The 22,654-nt window shown below is 36.8% G+C and overlaps 1 protein-coding gene across 16 annotated transcripts in view; it reads right to left on the reverse strand.

The window, feature by feature from the left end:
* The window catches only part of SMC6 (structural maintenance of chromosomes 6), an 89,999-nt gene that overhangs the window by 52,882 nt on the left and 14,463 nt on the right, over positions 1 to 22,654 (reverse strand). For 9 of the 16 annotated variants that reach the window (NM_024624.6, XM_017004913.3, NM_001142286.2 and 6 more), the window contains 10 exons: positions 21,528 to 21,633; positions 15,048 to 15,184; positions 14,385 to 14,446; positions 9,696 to 9,776; positions 8,564 to 8,665; positions 4,449 to 4,568; positions 4,247 to 4,345; positions 1,384 to 1,530; positions 395 to 483; positions 48 to 212 (listed from right to left, as the gene is read on the reverse strand). In NM_024624.6, coding sequence (NP_078900.1) covers positions 48 to 212; positions 395 to 483; positions 1,384 to 1,530; positions 4,247 to 4,345; positions 4,449 to 4,568; positions 8,564 to 8,665; positions 9,696 to 9,776; positions 14,385 to 14,446; positions 15,048 to 15,184; positions 21,528 to 21,633 — 1,108 coding nt within the window. The remainder of the gene's footprint in view (positions 1 to 47; positions 213 to 394; positions 484 to 1,383; positions 1,531 to 4,246; positions 4,346 to 4,448; positions 4,569 to 8,563; positions 8,666 to 9,695; positions 9,777 to 14,384; positions 14,447 to 15,047; positions 15,185 to 21,527; positions 21,634 to 22,654) is intronic. The other 7 variants (XM_017004916.3, XM_011533108.4, XM_047445837.1 and 4 more) reach the window with 1 other exon arrangement.

A 22,654-nucleotide genomic window follows, 5' to 3' on the forward strand; every position in this document is an offset into this window, starting at 1 on the left:
ATGTAAAAGTAATTGAAAAAAATCATTCTAAGGATGTTGCAACTTACTTAATTTTGCCATGTTCTTCTTTGTCCTTTTCTATGGCTTGCTGAAACTGTTCGATCTCTTGATTGACTGAATTTTCTTGATTTTGAAAGGCCTTTACTCTCTCTTTTAACCAAGATATTTTTTTTTGTCTTTCCAACCGTTCAGGTTCCAAAGATTGGTCAGTACTAACAGTAAATAACCCAAAGTGAAAAATGTTAGTTCAATGAACAGCCTAACATTTAAAGAACACAAACCGATGTAATAAAATTCCATTAACAACAATACATAAAATATAATACTCCAATGCATCTACCTTACTTTATTACAAAATGGGATAGCCATGAAAATTTCAAAGTAACTACCCTACCTTTTTTTCAGCTCTTCAATTCGTTTACAAAGCTGCTCATCATCTTTCTTTAATGCTTTATATTCGTTTAAGGATCGGTTATATAAAACCTAACCAAAAAAATTAGACACACTTTACAAAAATGAAAACACAAATATCCCATTCACGTCCACTTTTGTCAAATCTTCAGAGGCTGAATATATACAGGAATATATTTTTTAAATGAAGCACAAAATGGCCATTTGAAACCATTACATTTTTTAAAATCTCAAAGCATCACTAATTTCAACTCAGGTACAAAATCTCTACTTTAAAAAATAGAAGGCCAGGTGCTGTGGCTCACGCCTGTAATCCCAGCACTTTGGGAGGCCAAGGTGGGCGGATCACGAGGTCAGGAGATCTAGACCACCCTGGCTAACATGGTGAAACCCCGTCTCTACTAAAAATACGAAAAATTAGCTGGGCGTGGTGGCACGCCCCTATAGTCCCAGGTACTCAGGAGACTGAGGCAGGAAAATCGCTTAAACCCAGGAGGCAGAGGTTGCAGTGAGCTGAGATTGCGCCACTGCACTCCAGCCTGGGTGACAGGGTGAGACTCTGTCTCAGAAAAATAATAATTAAAAAAATAGAAGAGGCTGGGTGCAGAGGTTCACACATGTAATCCCAGCACTTTGGGAGGCTGAGGCAGGTAAATCACTTGAGGCCAAGAGTTCAAGACCAGCCTGGATATTGTGGTGAAATCCTGTCTCTACAAGAAATACAAAAAAATTTAGCCAGCTGTGGTGACAGATGTCTGTAGTCCCAGCTACTCAGGTGGCCGAGGTGGGAGGATAGCGTGTGCCCAGGAGATAAGAGGCTACAGTGAGCCGTGATGGCGCCATAGCACTCCAGCCTGGGTGACAGAGCAAGACTATTTCAAAAAAAATAAAATATAATAAAAAAGGATAGAAGAACAGCCTTTATATTTGCTGTGTGGCTTTTAAAATTCCAGTTTAGAAAATTTATCTCACCTCAGCTTCATTATAGGCCCTTTTCTTAGCAACAACATCTGCTTTCAATGCCATACATTCTGGTGCTCGTGCATTTGTCTCTTCACTAATCTTTTCTAGTTTGTCTTGAATATCCTTGTACTTTTGTTCTGCCTCATTAAGTCTGACCTTTAAGAAAATAACATTATTGAAGTATATTTTTTCTTCAATAGAGAGAATTTTAAAAAATAATTATCTATAGTTCATATACCAATAATAAATTTAACTTCACTCAAGACATCAGGCAAATAAACATAACATAACATTATATAAAATACTATAATATAATTTGATCTTAACCCACAGTTAGTTATCCAACAAATGTGTTATCCTCTTGGGATACAAAGACATGATAACAAATGTCCTCAGATAACACAAAAGAGAGAGATATAATTTAGCAGAAAAACAGAACACAAACTGATGATACATTCTGTATACAATAATACTAAAGTAGGGTACATTTATTTTTAATTGTGGTAGCACAGAGAAACAAACCAGAGGTTGGCCAGAAAAAGTCAGGAATGCCTTCAAAGAGCAAGTAGTATTTTGAGCTGAGATTTTAAAAATTAATCTAAGTGTACCAGGAAATAAGTTGAGGAAGGTGTTAGAGGCAGATGAAAGAGCATGTACAAAGGTATTAATACTTTAGAAATTAAATATTGCTAGAGCTTAAATTGAAAGGATAATGGCAGGAGACGAGATGAAGGGGTAGAAGGGCCTCGCATTCTACAATGAACAGCTTACAACTTAATCTTCTTGACAACAGGAAGACGACCTAAGTCTGTCTCTTATCTCCTAAGTCTGCATGTTAGATTACTCTGGAAGCACTTGGAACACAGGGTAGACAGAAAAATCAAAGGAAAAGATTTCAGTAAGAAGTTAATATATTATGGAACAAAGACAATTAGGGACCAAACTGGGATGCTGGCAATAGGGACTGATTAGAAGGAACAAATATGAGAACTATTTCGATCGGGGTCAGCAAACCTTTCTACAAGGAGCTAGATAGTGCACACTTCAGGCTTTGTGGGCCACATGGTCTCTCCTAAAACAATTCAACTCTGCCATTAAAACATGAAAGCACCCAAGGACAATGAGTAGAGGAATTGTTTTTTTAATAAAAATGAAAGCTGGATCCAGGTTTTATATAAACTAAACATAATTCATATTATTTTTCAGTTTTAAATTAACAAAAGTTTAAAGTCTGCTTTAGACACTGTTTCTTCAGAAACCTTCCATTTAACAGTCATTCTACAAGCAATAATCAAGCACACACAATGTGAAAGGCTTTATGTAAGACAAGGTGGTAAGGATATAAAGATAAAATAAGATAGTCTTTACCCTCCAGAAATTTGCCAATTACAACATAGAGTATGCAAATGCTTAAACGGAGAAAAAGGCCTACAAAAGTAAACATAACCTAGCCTTATGATCCTCCTTTCCCATTTAAAAAAGAGGTGAGCATCTATTACGCAGACTGGATTCCATTTTAGACTGGGAAATGCTTGAGGAGGAAAGTATTTAAGGCCTTACCTGATGATAAGCTGAGAATTGAGGGTGAGAAGAGAAAAATACTTGGTGAAAATTTCAGAATATTCTTTCAGAAATGAAAATTTAAGGTGAGAGGTGGAAAGGGTTGAAATTCCACTTACTGCCTGAAGAGGGAGTAAGAAACTTAGCCCAGAAATCGCTAAGTGTCCTATCTTTACCTATTTTTACATACTCATATATTACCTCTGATGAATTAATGTCATAACCCTTAAAAGAAAAAAAAGATCAATCTGCTTATCTTGGAGGCAGACAGGAAAAAGCAAGCTAGGAAAGATTACATTCTATACCACAGCCAAGCTTGGGGGCCAGAAAGAAATTTCCTAAGCAAAGTAGAGAAAATGCTAAGAGGTAAGTAAGCTACACTGGCACATTGAGTACATTTGCGGGGGAAGGGGAGTAAAGAAGGAAAAAACTAGGAGTTCTACTTCTGGCATTACAGCATGAGGAGCCCCACAGTTCTGGCTGCTCAACCTTGTGAGTATACTAAAACCCAGTGAATTATACACTTTAAATGGGTGAATTATGTGGTATATGAATGATATCTCAATAAAGCTGTTCAAAACAGAAAGAGTGAGTATAAAGAGTGGATCTGCTGAATGTTAAAGGGTCCACATGGAAAGCCTCAACAGAGAATGACTGCCTTTACTCAACACTCAACTTCTGTAACCTCTAGGCCCGTGTGGAAGACTTTTATGACTTTCTTGAATTTTAGATAGGGTAGTTTCTACCTGCACTCTTAGATGTCAGGCTGAAATTAACCTTAACAGACCTAACAATGAATCCTACTTGCCTTCCATCTATATGAAATCCTCTGACATGCCATCTTGGTTCTGGACCATAAATCTCAGTTCCCTTAGCAATCTCTGGGCATTGTTTTCAGTTCTGAGTTCTCATACTTTCTGATACTTACCTTTAATGTGGTTCTAATTTATATTATTCTAGCACCCCTTTATTTCTCAGGTCTTTTTGTGTTTCAACTCCTTAATGAACCAAAGAGTAAAAGCTTCATGCTCTTCTTCTATGTCTTGTCAGTAACAAAGTTCCACTGACAATATGCATGAGTTCTAGAGCCCTAGCCTCTGACAGGTTTATCAAGGATAGAGTACTCTTTTCAAAAGAGAGTCACCACAACAGGCCTTGAAAACAAGCTTAGGTCTATTTCACCTAAGCAATCAATTCAAATATAGACAAATATACTGTCTGAAACTGATGGTTTGGTGGGTCATAAATAGTCTAATATCTGTAATTTCATATGATTCAACCTATTAAATCTGCATTTAAAAACTGTAATTACCTGCTGTTCTTCCATTTTCCTGTCAAGTCTAGCAGCACGATCTTCTCCAATTTTGATATTATCTCTGATGGCATTCAATTGTTTTTCAATTTCATTGACCTAAGAAAGAAATTATATAGCAAATTGATCAGATTAACAATAATAACCAAATACATTCTGCATATCACATAGATACGTGAACAAGTAATTAAGTGATAATTACCACTGCCCAAGCCATTTCATGTTTCAAGGACTCTAAATTAGTCTTCATTGTACTTAAACCAGCAATACTTTGAAAACGTTCCTCTTTCTCTACACACTGGCGCTTTAGTTCAGTAAGCCGCTTAAAAAAAGAAAACAGAACGGACGTATTTTTTATTAATGTTGAAAAAACACATTTTTGCAAATCTATTTCTTTTAAAAACAATGCCTAAACAAGTACTACATAAATATTCGTTTAAAAATAACTTCTATTTTTTAAAATTATTCTTGATTCTTTGGTATACTTTTAGTAAGTCCAATAATTTTGTGAATTTCTGCACTATAAAAATGGCCAAATACTCTTCAGATGAAGAGCAAAGGAATTAAAGGTTCAAGACTACACAAATATAGAGAAATCCCAAAACTCACTTTCCCATTTTCCCTCTTTATTCCCTATCTGATAGACATGATGGTCTGTTCCTCAAAGCAGAGTCAATAGGCATTCCAAAGAGAATGTAAGGATGAGAAGAAATTTATTTCTGAAAATCAAACAAGTTATAATTTTCTTAACTAAGTTCACTTTTTTTTTTTTTTTGAGACAGAGTCTCACTCTGTTACCAGGCTGGAGTGCAGTGGCACAATCTCGGCTCACTGCAACCTCCACCTCCCAGGTTCAAGCGATTCTCCTGCCTCAGCCTCCCAAGTAGCTGGGACTACAGGCATGCACCACCACACCCAGCTAATTTTTGTATTTTTGGTAGAGACGGGGTTTCATCATGTTAGCCAGGAACTGAGTTCACGTTTAATAATTAATTAAAAATATCAAATACTGTGATATTCAAACAATTTCTGTAGCTTATGGACTTCATATTCTGTCCACCTGGGTAGACAGCCTCTACCCTTCATCCATGCTTACCAAATTCAACTTGGGCCTGAACACTGTAGACCTTACTTTGTTTCCCTATCTAATGCACTTTCCCATTTTCAAAATTCTTTCAATCTATTATCATTCTCTTCAAACCTCATACACCTCATACACCCTGCCACCATATTCCCTCATTCATTCCCTCTCTCCAGCTTAGACAATTAGAAGCCATCAGACAGAAACTCCCTCAACAATCTACAAATCTAAAGCAGCCATCCCTTCCTTTTGCAACAAGAGAGGTGGCCTCATATTTAAGACCCATACCATCCTCTACCTATATCTTGGATTCTACCCCTTTTCTATCTTCTCAAAGGTCTAAATCCACTGATTTTCCATCACATCTTTTCATCTTTGTTTCCACTTTACCCTCTTCATGACTCATGTTCATCCCTACTTGCTCATCTTTCCAACTTAACAAACAAAACCACCAATACCCATCCCTTGGCACCACCTCCTCCTCTAAAATTCTTCTTCCCTTTCTATCCAGGTTTCATGAAAATTGTCTCTATCTCCTCCATCTCCTCACATTTTCCAGTTCCACATATCTGGCTGTTTTCACTGCTACTGAAACCCACCTTGCCATAGTCATCTATGAAGATTATGTCATTAAATACAGTGAGTTTTGTCAATTCATGTAGTGTCGGACCACATGGTATATCTCACAGTCATGACTGGTTCCTTCTCAAAATCTCTCTGCCCTTGGCTTCTCATGGCTTCTATGAGAATTTCTCACGGTTCAGGCCTGGGCCCACTTTTCCCCTATCTCAGCAATCTAAATTATTATTTTGGCTTATATACTAATAGCACACTGACAACTCCCAAATTTTTATTGAGACCAGACTTACTTCTGTATTCTTAATTTACATATCCAACTTCCCACTTCACATTTCCACTTGGATGCTTTTATTATAAGCACCTCAAAATTAATGTGTTCAAAATATAATTCAGCTTTCTTAAAAAAAAAAAAAAGAAAAGAAAGGAAAAAAAAAGAAAAACTGGCTTTTCTTCCCAAACTTCCTATCTCAATAAACTTACTGTACTACTAAAGTAATTAATCTGGAGGTCATTCAGTCACCTTTGATGCCTCTGTCTTAACTTTACTTCTCCATGTCCACTACAACATCTGCCTAGATCATTTCAAAGTTCTCTCTCTTACTACTACCAATATCCTTAACTTAAGCCATCATCATCTCTTTGGACAATGATAATGCCTTCTTAATCAATCTTTCCACATCTCTTCTCTCCTTATAGCAGTTCATTCTCTTGTACAGCAGAGTAATCTACCGAAAATACACAATTAATGAAGTCATCCATTTTCATGTCTTCTACTGCCCCCTAAATTTTATAAGGTCCTCCACAACCTGGCCTCTCATCTCTCACACCTGTGTTTTACACTCTAGCCAATCTGGAATTCTTCCAGTTTTTTAAAAGCACACATGCTTTCTTGCCCCTGAGGCTTTAACCATGCTATCTCTTAGAACATCCTTCCTTGCTTTCACCATCCTTTGCCTGGTATCCTTCAGTTTTCTTCTTAGGCATCACTTCCTTAATAACTCCCCCATCATGACTGTCCCTGACACTGCCAGTACCCTATTAAGTGCTGTTGTCTAGTCTACATCTCTTTTAGTAGTCCTCACGATACTCAAATTATTTACCATCTATGTTTTCTGCTGAATAATTAGGTCTATGATCCCAAGAATCCTATTTATCTGTCACTATATGACCATGGCCAAAGCACAATGCTACAAGGCACATGATAAGAACTTAATATTGACTGAATGATTATTCTAGTTTCTAGCCTTTACATGCTATTTCTTAAAGATTTAATTATTCAAACCCAGAGTTTATTTTGAGAATACAGGGTATTTCACCAATTAAGAGAAAAGTTCTTATTGAGTGCATATTATGCATCAGGAATTCTCCTACATAATTTAGGGAAGTGCTCCTTATACTTCATAATTACAATATCTTTAATTGTTACTGGTATACTTTGTATACCATGGAGAAAATAAGTGTTTAATCCCAAGTGTCTGAAACAAACAAATTTATTTCAAGTCCTGATTAATTATATTAAAAATAATAAATGTAATATATAGTAGGTACAGTTTGTTTGAATATACAAATATTTCCCTTCCCCAATAACAACACTGACATTCCAAGAAAGTGTGCTTTAGTATTTTTGTGGTTTATAGTAACTCCTTAAACACCACCACATAACCCAGGTTTGAAAGGATAATGTGGGAAATAAAAATAAATATACTCATCCTTGATTTTTGAGTTTTCATTTAATGAACCACCTAACTATAGACCTAACTTAAAATATGTATTCCTCAAAAATGTGAAGTAAAAAGGTCAGTATAACATAATGAATTTGACTTTAATCATTAGTATAATCCTGCCTCAAAAGGACAAGCTACAAAGTTGATGAAAACTCAATTGGTTATATAAAACTAACAAATGAACAAGATATGGAATTACATAAAGTTGGTGGGACTTAATATGCTGGATAAACAGCTATAATGTAAGCCTTAAAATTTTGAGGTCTCTGATTATCACACAGAAAGTTGGATCTTCAGGAATCTGAAGAAAGTATAAGAACAAAATATAACAGATTTAAAAACAAATTGAAGTAAGTCATGGCTGGCATGAGTGATTTAAAGCGCAAGCAAATTTGCAAGCTGCCAAGCCTGGTGAGTAAGGATGTCATAGCTGCTACTAACCTACCAGTTGCTTAAGGAATGTTAACATTTTACTAGAGTTATAATTACTATGATTTGTAGATTACGGTATATAATTATAAATGCATACTATGTTTAAAAACAGCTTGAAGCTTGTGCTTATTATCCCAGCAGAAGAAATATTGCAGTTTTTAAACTACTTATAGGTTTTAAACTACTTAAACTACCATACCTTATTGTGGAACCCATTAGTCATACTATCAGAGGATAAGTATGTAAGATACTGCCCTGTTCTCTATCTTATAATCTAATAGAGAAAGTAAGACATGTACACAGTCATTATTACAAAATAAAAAAGTAATAGCTAATTAATACCCGGAATATAAACACTACATTGCATATACTTCAGAGTGCTATAAAAATATTACTAGTTTTATATAAATATACAGACACATAGTTTTACAATATCATTTACTGTAAGTACTATAAGAATTTGGCTGATCTCAAAAAGATTTACATTAACTGTTTACAAACCTCTTCTCCTTGATGTATCTGCTCCTTTGTTCTTTCTTTCGTTTCCATAATGTATGAATAATCTTCCTTCATCTGTTCAAGTTGCGTTGCTTTCATGAAGAACTATTATCAATAACAAAAAAAAACGCAATTAGGAGTTTGTAAACTTCCATAGAACTGTTAAAAAGAAAAAGAAAAATTTAGTTTCTGAAAACTTTTAGATCAATGATGTAAAAAGACATTAAAAACGTAAGCAATCACACAAACACAAAAGAATACATCATATTTCAGATTCAAATTGACTGAACCTACTATGCTCACATCCACATGTTCATTTGCAAAAGCTCTTAAAACCCCATGAAAGAAAACACTTCAGGGTGTGGTAATAAGCTCATTTTCACTAATTCCATTCTTTAAGCAAAAACAGCTGAAAAGACTGGCATCGTTGGTCTTAGTACATCTTAAATTTTTAGAGTAAGAAATACCAAAACTCACTCAAAAGGCTACACAGAATATTTAGCAGTATAGTCAAGTATTTTGTTAGTTTTTAAAATTTTTAATAGTTTAAGATTTACAGCACAGTGGCTCACACCGGTAATCCCAGCACTTTGGTAGGCCAAAGCAGGTGGATCACTTGAGGCCAGGATTTTGAGACCAGCCTGGCCAAACTGGTGAAACCCCATCTCTACTAAAAATACAAAAATTAGCTAGACATGCTGTCACATGCTTGTAACCCCAGCTCCTTGGGAGGCTGAGGCACGAAAATCACTTAAACCTGAGGGGTGGAGGCTGCAGTGAGCCGAGATTGCACCACTGCACTCTATCCTGGAAGACAGAGCAAGGCTCTGTCTTAAAAAAAAAAAAAAAAAAAAAAAAAAAGATTTACAAGTTATTATGTATGTAGGAGCAACTGTTACCCTGTATTTCCTTAAAGATTAAGAATTAAAAGCCAAAAAGTAAAAACAAAGATTTAAAAAAATTATACTCCCATCTTACTTAACAATTTCCTAATCTAGGAAATTGAATTACTTTAAATAGATGGCTTTAAGGAAAAAAAAAACTCAGCCTCCATTATGTGAGCAATAATATTGTTTACAATATGCCTAAAGGTATTCTTTTTAAATGGGTTTATATTTACTTTGGTGCCACTTACTTTGTATTTGTCTCCTTCATTTTTAGACTGTAAGAACTGCTTGCTCATTTCTTGTGTTAAAACAGAAACTGGATTATCCACCTCAAACAAACAAAAAGTCATTTTTGAATATTTTACTTTAATGCTTTAAAGATAGGTAAAAACTGAAACATACATTACAAGTGACCTATGGTGCCATCAGGAAGGCCAAGCAATAGCCAAAGGTTATAACGTTAGGATAAAAATACTAAAAAAAAGTTAGAAATGTATAATGCAGGAAAAATAATTTAAAATTTCATTATACCAACATATATGGTATAGTTAACATTCAATATTCTACCAGTACATGAGGGCACAAGCATAAGAACCCTGTGAAAAAGTGTTTTTATTATAAAGTTTTTCACTTCTTACCTGCTGTATAGAATATCACCCTCATGCCACTGGTTAATCATGGGACAGCAGAATGGGAAGAGTCCTAGCATGGTAAGGAGTCAGTCACCTCGGGTTCTTGTTTGAGCTCTGTTGCTAACTTCCTATGTAGCCTTGGATAAGTCAGTTACTCCAACTAAACACAGTCCAACTCAGTTATTTCTAATGAGAATCATGACAACAAGTATTGTCTATTTTTCTTACAGAAGTTCTTCATATTATTCCTTCATGAGGATATTGTAAAACAAATGAAAATAATGAAGTCATTTCTATCTTTTGGAAACTAGTCATTGCTTGAATGAAACTACCTTTGCCTAACGTGATGGTTATTACTGAGTGTAAACCTGATTGGATTGAAGGATGCAAAGTATTGATTCTGGGTGTGTTCCCGAGGGTATTGCCAAAGGAGACTAACATTTCAGTCAGTGGGCTGGGAAAGGCAGATCCATCCTTAATCTGGATGGGCACCATCTAATTGGCTGCCAGTGTGGTTGGAATATAAAGCAGGCGGAAAAAACGTGAAAAGACTAGACTGGCCTAGCCTCCCAACCTACATCTTTCTCCAAAACTGTATGCTTCCTGCTCTCAAACATTAGACTCCAAGTTCTTCAAGTTTTGGGACTTGGACTGGCTCTCCTTGCTCCTCAGCTTACAGACAGCCTATTGTGGGACCTTGTGATCATGTGAGTTAATATTTAAAACTCCTCTTTATATATATATATATATATATACACACACACACATATATGTAAAATCTCCTATTAATTCTGTTCCTCTAGAGAACCCTGACTAATACACCTAACAAGTTAAGATATCAAAGTACAATTGGAAAAGTATAGAAAAAATACAACTTTTTTCAAAAAGATTCAGGGTCATTACTCAATTACTAACAAATCAGTTTACATGTTAAAAATAATCTTCATAAGGTTATTGTATAAATGAAAAACACTTTAAACCCTTCATGTTCACTGTCTACAAAATAAATATTGTGTAATTTGTTGGTATACCAATGGTTAAAACATTTCTCTCAAGTACGATGTTGGGCCTCTCTTCAAGATAATAAAAAACATTTATGTAGTTATAAACAAAACTTTACATGTGACATGTTTCTTATTATATAGACCAGACTCCATCTGCCATATATTTTTTCACAAAGCCCCCCCAGCTCTTCATTTCATACTGCATCTGACTTCTTAATAGACCTAATGCAGTAGTAGCTCTAATAACAAACATCTTAACATCAACTTTCAATTAAAAGCTTCACCGAAGTTTATATTCATTTCTCTATACCTTTTTCATTGTTTTTGAAATGGAGTTCCTACTTGTTATACTCCTCTTGGGATTATTTAAGAATCTTGGCCAGGCACAGTGGTTCATACCTATAATCTCAGCACTTTGGGAGGCTGAGGCAGGTGGACTGCTTGAGTCCAGGAGTTCAAGACCAGCCTAGGCAACATGGTGAAACCCCGTCTCTACAAAAAGTACAAAAATTAGCCGGGTGTAATGGTACCCGCCTGTAGTACCAGCTCTCAGGAGGCTGAGGTGGAGGATCACTTGAGCCTGAGAGGTGGAGGTTGCAGGGAGTCGTGATCATGCTGCTGCATTCCAGCCTGGGCGACAGAGTGAGACCCTGTCCCAAGGCTCATGCCAGCACTTTGGGAGGCCAAGGCCGAGGTGTGAGGATCACTTGAGGCCAGGAGTTCAAGACTAGCCTGGGCAACATGGCAAAACCCAGTCTCTAAAATCAAACCAAAAAAAAAAAGAATGTTGTAGCTTTATCTGTCAGAATCCTAAGAAAAGCAAAAAGCAAAAACTGGTAAACTTCAGCAAGAGGATAAGAAACGGAGGCACAGAAGACAAATATGATCAGACACTTAAAGATATTAAATATCCCCTTCCCTCCTGGTTATGCTAGACCAACAATGTCCAAGAAAAATATACGCCAAGTCACACACAATTTTTTTTTTTTTGAAACAGGGTCTCGCTGTGTCACCCAGGCTGGAGTGCAGTGGCGTGATCTCAGCTCACTGCAACCTCTGCCTCCTGGGTTCAAACAATTCTCTCACATCAGCCTCCTGAGTAGCTGGGGCTAAAGGCATGTGCCACCATGCCTGCCTAATTTTTGTGTTTTTTTGTAGAGACAGGGTTTCACCATGTTGGCCAGCCTGGTCTTGAACTCCTGACCTCATGTGATCCACCCGTCTCAGCCTCCCAAAGTGTGGGGATAACAGATGTGAGCCACTGCACCCAGCCCACACAAACAATTTTAAATGTACTAGTAGCCACACTAAAAATATAGAGAAATAGGTGAAATTTAATAACATATTTTTAATCAAATATAACCAAAATATTATCATTGTAACATGTAATCAATATAAAAAACTAAGTTATTCCTTTATATTAAGTTTTCAAAATCTGCTGGGTATTTCACATTACTGCATATCTCAATTTGAGCTACCCACTCTTCAAGTGCTCCACACAGCTCTAGACTTTCTGCATTTTAAACAATGAACCTGAATCTTTTGTTATGCATTAAGTAAACCATGCAAGAAAAGGACTAGGAATCTTTAAATATTTCAACAGAGAATAACATGTTTTACATTCCCCAAGGAAGTGAGAGCTTACAGAAATAGGCTTTTTTCAATTTTCCTCATAATGAAAACTTTCTAATAAATACAGCTGTCCACAGAAGAAGGAAGAAGCCTTGGACAGAGGTGATTACCCCACCATTATCCTTTCAAGCACTTGCACAAGAAAACCTGGTGGAGATTCTACACAGGGTAAATACAGAGTACTTATACAGTATACTGAATGCCCCTCAAGATTCTCCCAACACCCATGATTCCTCAACTCTAACTTTTGGTTTTCCTGATTCTAATAAATTGTCCTGCATTCTAGTCTGAAATTTATTTGCTGTACCTGCTTTTCTCTAGATTTTAAGAATTATTTTTCCTAAACTTGTACTGTCTGATATGCAGCAGGCACATTTGCTACGTGTGGCTTTTTCTACTTACAAAAAAACCATTAAAAATTCAATTTCTTAGTCACAATTTCAAGTTAGTCAAGAACCACATGTGGCTAGTGGTTACCCCACTGAATAGCATAGATACAGGACACTTCCACCATCACAGAAAGTTCTGTACCCTCTGTTCTAAACCAAACTGGAAAAGAGACCCAGACCCCTAATTGTTCTTTTTATTTGATGGCAAGTCTTGGTGTTCTTAATTCTGTAACGAGGCAGTATTGCACAATGGATAGAACAGTAGAATGAAACAGGATGCCTGGATCCCAAATCCAGGTTCTACCAGTAACCACGTCTAGACAGCCTTAAGTATAAATTTATTTTTTGTGGCTCCCAGTTTCTCATCTACAAAACAAACAGCCTGGATTAGGTGTCTTCTAAAGGTAATTCTTGTGTAAATGTTTATAGAACTACATGTACCCTATTATCAATTAATTCAGCCAAAGTATCTCAGCAGAAAGGACTAAGCCTTGGCCCCTACAAGTGTGATCAATAGCTCCAAAATAGAGAAATGCTTTATCTTTCTAGAATAAATTTTCTTTAAGAATTTAGCAACTTTAGAAACTAAACACTCATCCAGAAAAAAAAAAAAAAAGGAGTTTAGCAACTGAGTTTAGGGAACAATGATGCTATTTTGACTAGGACAGCAAAAAGCAAAGAAACCTGACATCCTTATTAAGATAAATTTTAGCCTAGAGCAGTATAGACTAAATGCTCTTGACTGGTCTATCAAATTAAAGGTGTTATATTATGTATTGACAGTCCTGTGTTGAATTAATAAATTCTTTTTTTTTTTTTTTTGAGATGGAGTTTCACTCTTGTTGCCCAGGCTGGAGTGCAGTGGCACAATCTTGGCTCACCGCAACCTCTGCCTCCTGGGTTCAAGTGATTCTCCTGCCTCAGCCTCCCAAGTAGCTAGGATTACAGGCGCCCGCCACCACACCCAGCTAATTTTTTTTTTTTTTTTGTATTTTTAGTAGAGATGGGGTTTCACCATGTTGGCCAGGCTGGCCTTGAACTCCTGACCTCAGGTGATCCACCCGCCTTGGTCTCCCAAAGTGGTGGGATTACAGGTGTGAGCCACCATACCCGGCCGAATTAGTAAATTTTAAACAACTTCATTGATAATAGTTACACATATGCTTCCTGTGGTCAGTTTACTCATATGAGGCCATTTAAATTTTTTCTACACAAGTGAAATCGCACTAAAAAAATGACAAGGTGTATGAATTAATCTGAAACACAAATTCACCAATTACCTGGATGTTAAAATGATCAAGAATTGCAATCAGCTCTTCTTTCCTCGTGGAAACCACGGAGCCTAGTTATAAGAAACATATGAAATAACCAAACTGTTTCTAGGGCATAACACAGAAAAAATGTATAGTTACTTACAAAATATAAATATTAGTTAGCTTTCATTGCATCATCAAGAAAGGTACCATTGAATACGTACAAATATGAATGAACATGGCACAAGTACAGAGGAAGAAAAAGTACCCACATGCAATAATGGTGCTTATCTTGTTCCCACAGCTAAACATATTTTGCTCCTTATCTATCTCTTTTTAAAAACTAAATGCTCACCTCTTCTTTTATGTCATTTTGCACCTTTTGCTAACCATTTATTTCCACATGCTATAAAAACCCTGGTGTGATAGGAAGTCTGTAGGTGAAAACAAAATAGCACAACTTGTTTCAAATAATCCCCAATTCTGCTAATCATGCTTTTGGTGCTATAATATCCTGGGGTAAAACAACCATGTGTAACATATGCACGTGTGTGTGTGTGTGTGTATATATATATGCACACAACCAATCATGTTACAAGGAAGATAGTTCAATCAATACCAGCAGTCATCTAATTCTTTTTGAGTATTTCCTAATATTTTATAAGAAATGAAAAGAGAATCAAAACAAACCTGTTGCACTTTTAAGTTTATAAGATCGACTTCCATCTATGCTGATGTGTTGCTGTATAAGTATAGAGTTACCATACACACTGGCTTTAAAGGCATCATCTCCTCTGTTCCTCAATGTTATTGAGATATCTGCAGAGCTGAAAGAATGAGGTTGAGCTAAGTTACATGAAGATACAGTGTAATTACAATACTAGGTTGCCACAGTTTTCAAATTTTTCAAAACCACCAAATAATTTGGCCAATTCATTTGCAAATTAGATTTACATCAACAGCTGACACTGATTGTTCACTACAGCATAACGTTAACGATACTGTGCCTAACAAAAAAATAAAGTTGAGAATAAGTGAAGCTTCAAAAAAATAATTGACTGACTATTCTATCCATCATAGAAATAGCACATCTGCACAAAAACCATTAAGTTTCGGTTGTTTCAAGACATGTAGATAAGTTATACATTTTCCTATAAAAATCATGTAATCAAAATTATACTGCCTGACTACTGTAAGTTATATAAAGCATCATGCTTGACAGTAGGCCTTTAAAGAATGATGAAGTAAGAATTATGGTAAAGTAGTTAACATTTTCAAAGGGGATTAGAATTAAAAAAGGTAATTTTAATTTTTCAATTACTTGGCAATAAAAAATAAAACCATTTGATATCAAGAAGTGTAACTAGGCAGGGTACAGTGGCTCACACCTGTAATCCCAGCACTCTGCGAGGCCAAGGTGGATGGATCACTTGAGGTCAGGAGTTCGACACCAGCCTGGCCAACACGGTGAAACCCCATCTCTACAAAAAATACAAAAATTAGCCGGGCATGGTAGTGCATGCCTGTAATCCCAGCTACTCGGGAGGCTGAGCCAGGAGAATCGCTTGAACCCAGGAGGCAGAGGTTGCAGTGAGCTGAGATCGTGCCATTGCACTCCAGCCTGGGCGACAGAGAGAGACTCGGTCTCAAAAAAAAAAAAGAAAAAAGAAACTAAAGCCCAAAATTTCTTAAAGCTTTACTGGCATTAAAAAGACATATTTTAAAATAGTACAATGCAGCTAAACACACATATAAAATGATGAGTATAAATCTGCCTAACCAATAGGCTCTGTTATAGTTTTTAAAGTTTTAAAGATGTTTTAGGGACTTACAGCCACGCATATTTTAAGATCTATAGGAGTAAAAAAAAAAATCTTTATTTGTGTACTCCAACTTGTGTTAAAATAAGACTTGGTAGAAAAACAAAGATGCTGATGAAGGACATTAATAAAGATATAATTTTCTTACACATAAAAGCAGATATTTTACCTGGTTCATATGAGCATCTGTCAAAATGCTAAAGTCCCTTAATATAAAAGTGTTTTAATTGGTAATTAAATGAAACCTTTAACAGAACAAACTTGCTTTTGTGAATTTGTAATCATACTCTAAAACTGTTCCCATTTGTGGGAAATGCAGGAAGAAATACTCCAGATGAGCTTCATTGTGAATTACTGCTAAGACAGTAGACACAGTGAAGTGTTTGCTCTGTTGCTCCACCATCCTTTTCTGTACAAGTGCCCTAGCAGAAAGGGCTTAGCAACGATATAATTTTCCATCCCATCCTCTTGGGATTGAGCTAAATATAGAAATTTTTTACCAACTAAGCAATCAGATTTTCTTCTTTAAAAAATCAAACTAAGAAAATGTGGTTAAAAAAATTTCAGAATTCTGTAGTTTAGTTGATATTGTACCAATGGTAATTGTATAGCTTTGATAAATGCATCTTAGTTACGTAAGATATCTACATTAAGGAAAATTGGGTGAAGGATATACAGAAAATTGTACTATCTTTGCAACATTTCTGTAAATCTACAATTATTTCAAAATAAAAAGGTTTTAAAAAATCAAATTAAGACATGATGAAGTCGAGAGATGGTGAATCCTGGGAGCTACAAAGTTATGGAGCCTCTAGACCTAGAGAAACCAATTTGGGGCATTATAGTCTGATAAGAAAATAGAAAAGTCTGAATAGAACAGATAAGCTCTTTGGAAACCACTTAGGCAGGCTAATAAAAAGACATAACATACTCACAGATACTGGCAGTGAACCAGAGGGACAGAAAACATAAGATCACTTCCTTATACACATACACCTACAGACTAGGACAGTAAGACTTATAAATGCCTGCACATGCAAAGACACACAGCAACAAAGATTAGCAAAAAATAAGGAAGTACACATACTTGAGACAGTGATGGAGAGAAACACACTCACTTACCTGTACACTTTTCACAAGGAGAGACAGGAGAGCATAGTGCACACACACAGAAGTACAGCCAATTAAGTTAGGATTGTGAGGGAGGTGCACAGAGGAGAGTTGCAGAACAAACCAATGGGAGGGAGAGGAAGACAGAGGTCCAGAGACAAGACACACAGAGACAGCCAGAGATGCAATTAAAAGAAAGCCCCAGAGAGAGAAGTGACTCAGTTCTTACAGGGTCTCAGTCTGGTCCCTCAAGAGACCCCGCAGTATTTCCTCTCTGCAGTTTCATGAATATATATCCCTGCATCTTTATGGTAAATATCCTTTCCTAGAGCTACCTTGAATAAATTGGTGTGGTTTTTCTATAAAAACAATATTACCTAATTAAGACAGATTATGCCTCAGAAAAATCAATTAATGGGATTTTTTAAAAGCTCCCCAAGTTGATTCTAATGAACGGTTAAGGTTGAGAACCACTGAAGTATGAGGGGAAGGGCGGCTGGCCTCTGATAATGTAGCTAATGAATATTTTATTTCATTAGCTAGTATGATTACTTGGCATTAAGTTACAGTACCTCATGAAAACATTTCTTAAATGACTACATATATTTGCTCTCTGAATTATCAAACACCTCTCTTGATTACCAAACACCTACTTTATTATCTTCATTCCTAGCTACTCCTTGTATTTAAACTATCTTTAGTACAGTGAGAACTTCAGAAGCACTGATATCCTACTGCTATATAAATTTTCTTTTCTTTTTTTCTTTTTGAGACAGAGTCTCACTCTGTCGCCCAGGCTGGAGTGCAGTGGCATGATCTCGGCTCACTGCAATCTCCGCCTCCCAGGTTCAAATGATTCTCCTGCCTCAGCCTCCCCAATAGCTGAGATTACAGGCACCCACCACCACATCCAGCTAATTTTTGTATTTTTAGTAGAGACGGGGTTTCGCCATGTTGGCCAGGCTAGTCTTGAACTCCTGACCTCAAGTGATCCGCCCAACTCGGGCTCGAAAGTGCCAGGATTACAAGTGTGAGCCACAGTGCCTGGCCTGCTATATGAATCTAATAAATACAAGAAAGCAAAATACTTCTAAAAAATAACATTTATAAAAAAGCCTCATAATTACTGCTAAACAAACAAAAAAAAAACCACTTCTGCAGGAAGACAGAGACAACTGAGCTGGGTACTAGCTCTGCAGTCTTCCCCTTTACACTGATATGGTCTGTGCTGATGCTCAATTTGGGTCAACAGCCATAGAGCCCAATGAGTGAAAAGAGAGACTATCTATGAGATTTTTTTCAGAATGACAACACAAACAAGCAGTGCCACAGTAAGAATTTGGCTTCTTTCTCAACTCAGGAACAATCTATCTACACGGAAGTAACTGGCAGCAGTGCACATCAATGAGAACAAGGAATAAGAAAAGTCATATAAAAAGATGATACAACTGCTCCTTCTCTGGGTCACCAGCTCATCTGTAATAAGTTCTGTATCCCTGACTAAATAAATCAGGAACATAAAACAGGAGAATGAGTTTTTGTCCCTCTATAACCCTTGTGCCACAGCTGATGTCAAAAATTAGACTACTGCAAAGACCCCAAGGCTACCAGGGTTGGTATTAGGAAGGCCAAGGGAGGGAACAGTAAACTGTATATGTTTAAAGAGAATCTAAATAGCAAAGGGCATGAGGCCTTGGGTCACTGAGAAAGGTTTTCATGTGAAGAGATATATTAGGAGGATTCATTCAGTCCCTGTGTCACTGCAAAGGCTTGGTGGATAATTAGAAGGATGAGTCCCAGGCAATGTCTCAAGGTTCAGTTCTCTGGCTTCTTCTAACAGTATTAGGCAAGCATCTCCAAGGAGAGTTGAAATATCCCAAGAAAGGAGGCCCACAGCCCAAGAGTCACAAATGGCGAGTATAATGTTAGAGATGGGGGAAGGGAGGGATAGAGTCCTTAGAACTACCTCAAACTTGTGCTGGACCACACTGACAACCATTCTTCAGGCAAAGTGAGACTCCTTCATAGACTTTAGATGTGCAATAGAGTAAGAGCAGAACTAAAAACCTCAACAAGCTGATTCTGCAAAAAAGTGATGACAGAATCAGAGACTATAAAAACAAGGGAAATTTTATAAATGCCAAATGTTTTCAATGAGGAAGGGGATAGATAAGAACAATAAAGATGTGGAAAAACTCTGCTTTTCGTTAGTTTTTTAGACAGAAGACTGAGCTAAGGTTAGAGTTTCTAGCTGTCACTAACTGTGTTTTAAAATATATTTCCCCCAATTTTGTACTGGAAAAGAAAAAATAAAATATAACTATTTCACTCTACAGGCAGCCATGTCCTTAGAAGTCGGTGATTTGTTTAAGCTAGTCTTTTTTTATTAAATAGTATTCAGAGGACAGGTCTCAGAGAGAAGCTTCTACCCTGGTCTAAGTACTTCTCAAATGGGGGAAAAAAAAGTATTTAACTGAGAAAACATTTAACAGTGTATAAAAAATAATTTCTTCTTAAAGACTGTATCTGAAAATTCAACGTGCTATCTGGCCAAGTAGACTGGGTGATTGTTTGGACAGCTAAGAAATGGATAGTTAAGTATAATGAACTGTGGCTGAGTGTGGTGGCTCACACCTGTAATTCCAGCACTTTGGGAGGCCAAAGCAGGTAGATCACTTGAGCCCAGGAGTTGAGCCCAGGAGTTCGAGGCCAGGCCCCTTCGCTACTAAAAAAAAAAAAAAAAATTAGCCAGGCGTTGTGGCATGGCTGTAGTCCCAGCTACTTGGGAGGGTGAGGCATGAGAATCACTTGAACCCGGGAGGTAGAGGTTGTAGTGAGCCAAGACTGTACTACTGCACTTCAGCCTGGGTGACAGAGTGAGACTCTGTCTCAAAAAAAAGAATTTCTCATGGATTCTATTGACTAGTAAATAATAATAATTAAAAAAAATTTTTAAATATAATGAACTGAAATAGAGTTGATACTATTAACTTAAAGGTGTTAAAATAACTAATTTTTTGCTACAGACATCATTTTGGTTGGTGGTGAGAGGAAGACTTTGCTGGACTGGGGCCCCATGAAGTGGAGACAGAAACTATGCTGGAAATTGTTATCAAATAGTTTTTTCCCAAGGCCATAGGGCATGGGAAATAATCTTCTGTGTATCTTTTCTCCTTTTTTTTGAGTCAATTTGGAATCTTGGCTTAAGGTTAAGATTCCTAAGGTTTCTGAGGAATACATAAGAAATTTGCAGGCCTGATTCACATCCTGTCTTTGTTCTATTCTTTAGTAATAAAATAGAAGGTAAATGGATATAACACTGAGCAGAAGGAAAAGTCTACTGAATGAGAAAAAAGATATTAGTGTTAATTATGAAAGTTTCAAAAGTTCTCCGCACTGGGCATGAGAAGAAGGAATGGGAGTAGCCTCATGCTAGAAGATGTATGACAGCATTTGGGGCATTTTGCTGTTATGAAAAACAAAGATCCCTTCAGAGGTATCTGGGGCAGTATGGAAAAGAATGAAGAGATAAGCCTGAAGACAGAACAGCTAGTGGACAAAAAGCAGTGAGTCCATGATGATGCAAACTGGACAATTCACATATAGCTATGTGATGGCAACCTATGACAAAAAGAAATATAAATGTAAAGCCAAAGAGAGTAGTGATATGACTATTCACCAAGGGTCTGGGATAGACTAAAAACAGATCTGTCATTGTGGTCCTCAAATTAAACTCACTGGCAACCTACTTGGTTAAAGGGTATAAAATCAGAGTCAAAAAGTAGAATTCTTATTTTGGGACTTCTTAGAGAGCTAAAGACAGAAGTTTTGTGCAGGGACACTTTGGCTGGTCACTGATTTTGCTCTCCCTACTATCGTATCAATGTGGACTCACTGATGCTGGGTTTGGGTCAATAGTCAGGAATTAGCAAGGTTTATAAACACTTGTTAAACAGGGTACATAGATTTATCACAGCCATTTCTTTCAGCAAGTAACAGAAGCAAGATGGCCAGGCACAGGGCAATAGGTTACACAAGCTATCTGTCTTGAGAGGGTAACAGGCAACAGTGAGCCATGCCAGCAACAAGGGGTAAAAGAAAGGAATGAAAAAATAGGACACCTCTGCTCCTGTTCTGGGAAGGCACTTCATTTCCAGTCATGTCTATGTGAACTGGGAATCTAAAGTAACTGTTTTCTTACTAAAGAATTGAAAATAGATGGTAGAAAGCAAACACTTACTTCTGTCCATCTTTCACAAAACCTTTTAAAGAGGATCCTCTATTAGTAGCAACTGCTCTTCCACCAAGACCGACTATGAGAGCTGTGAGTACTGCACTCTTCCCACCTAAAGAAACAGATGTTGAAGAAATCACATTCATTAAAAGAAAAAGGAAAAAGCTGACTCCTACCATGTAATGCAAAAAGATTTATGAATGAGACTCACTTTAAAATAAAATGTTAAAATTCAACTCTAATTTTCTTCCCGTGCAAAGCAACAACTTAAAAAAAAAGTTATATATGTAAGGAAAAATTGAACTGCCATTATTAGCAAAAAAAATAGTACATTTCAGGAATCAAATTGTTGCCACTAAAAAGAAAATGGTAAAAATTGTTGTGACACCTTTCCAACCTTTTCATTGTACCACCTTGGCCTATCAACCTAATAAATGAATCATCCCTCTATTTACACATATATTATTAATTCATCTAATTTTTATGACATTCTATTGGCACAATCATTGCTCACTGTAACCTCGGACTCCTGGGCTCAAGCTATCCTCCTGCCTCAGCCTCCTCAGTAGCCGGGATTACAGGCACACATCACTATGCCCGGCTAATTTTTTTTTGTAGAGACACAGTGTTGGTATGTTGCCCAGGGTGGTCTCAAATTCCTGGTTCTCAAGCGATCCTCCTGCCTTAGCCTCTCAAAGCGCTGTGATTATAGATGTGAGCCACTGGGCCCAGCCAGAAACCACTGTTAACATCCCTCAAAAGTAAGCTCCATGTGGACAGGAATATTGTCTCTTTCATTCAATACTGTATCCCTAATATTAGCACATAATAAGTACTTGCATTATTTGTTGAATGAATGAACTTAAGTAGAAAAAAATCAGCAAAGTCATATACATGTTTTTATATAATATTTTGACAATTATTATTTGTAACTTGAATATTATTCATTTTCTAGCTCTTTGAGAAGTGTACTTCTTTATACCCTAACAGATCTAAAATATTACAAGCTGAGGGCTAGGTATGGTGGCTCATACCTGTAATCCCAGCGTTTTGGGAGGCTGAGATGGGAGGCTCATCTGAGACCAGAGAGACCAGCCTGAGCAACAGAGAAACACCTGGTCACTACAAAAAAT

Source organism: Homo sapiens, chromosome 2, assembly GCF_000001405.40.
Source record: "Homo sapiens chromosome 2, GRCh38.p14 Primary Assembly".
Classification (NCBI taxonomy): domain Eukaryota; kingdom Metazoa; phylum Chordata; class Mammalia; order Primates; family Hominidae; genus Homo; species Homo sapiens.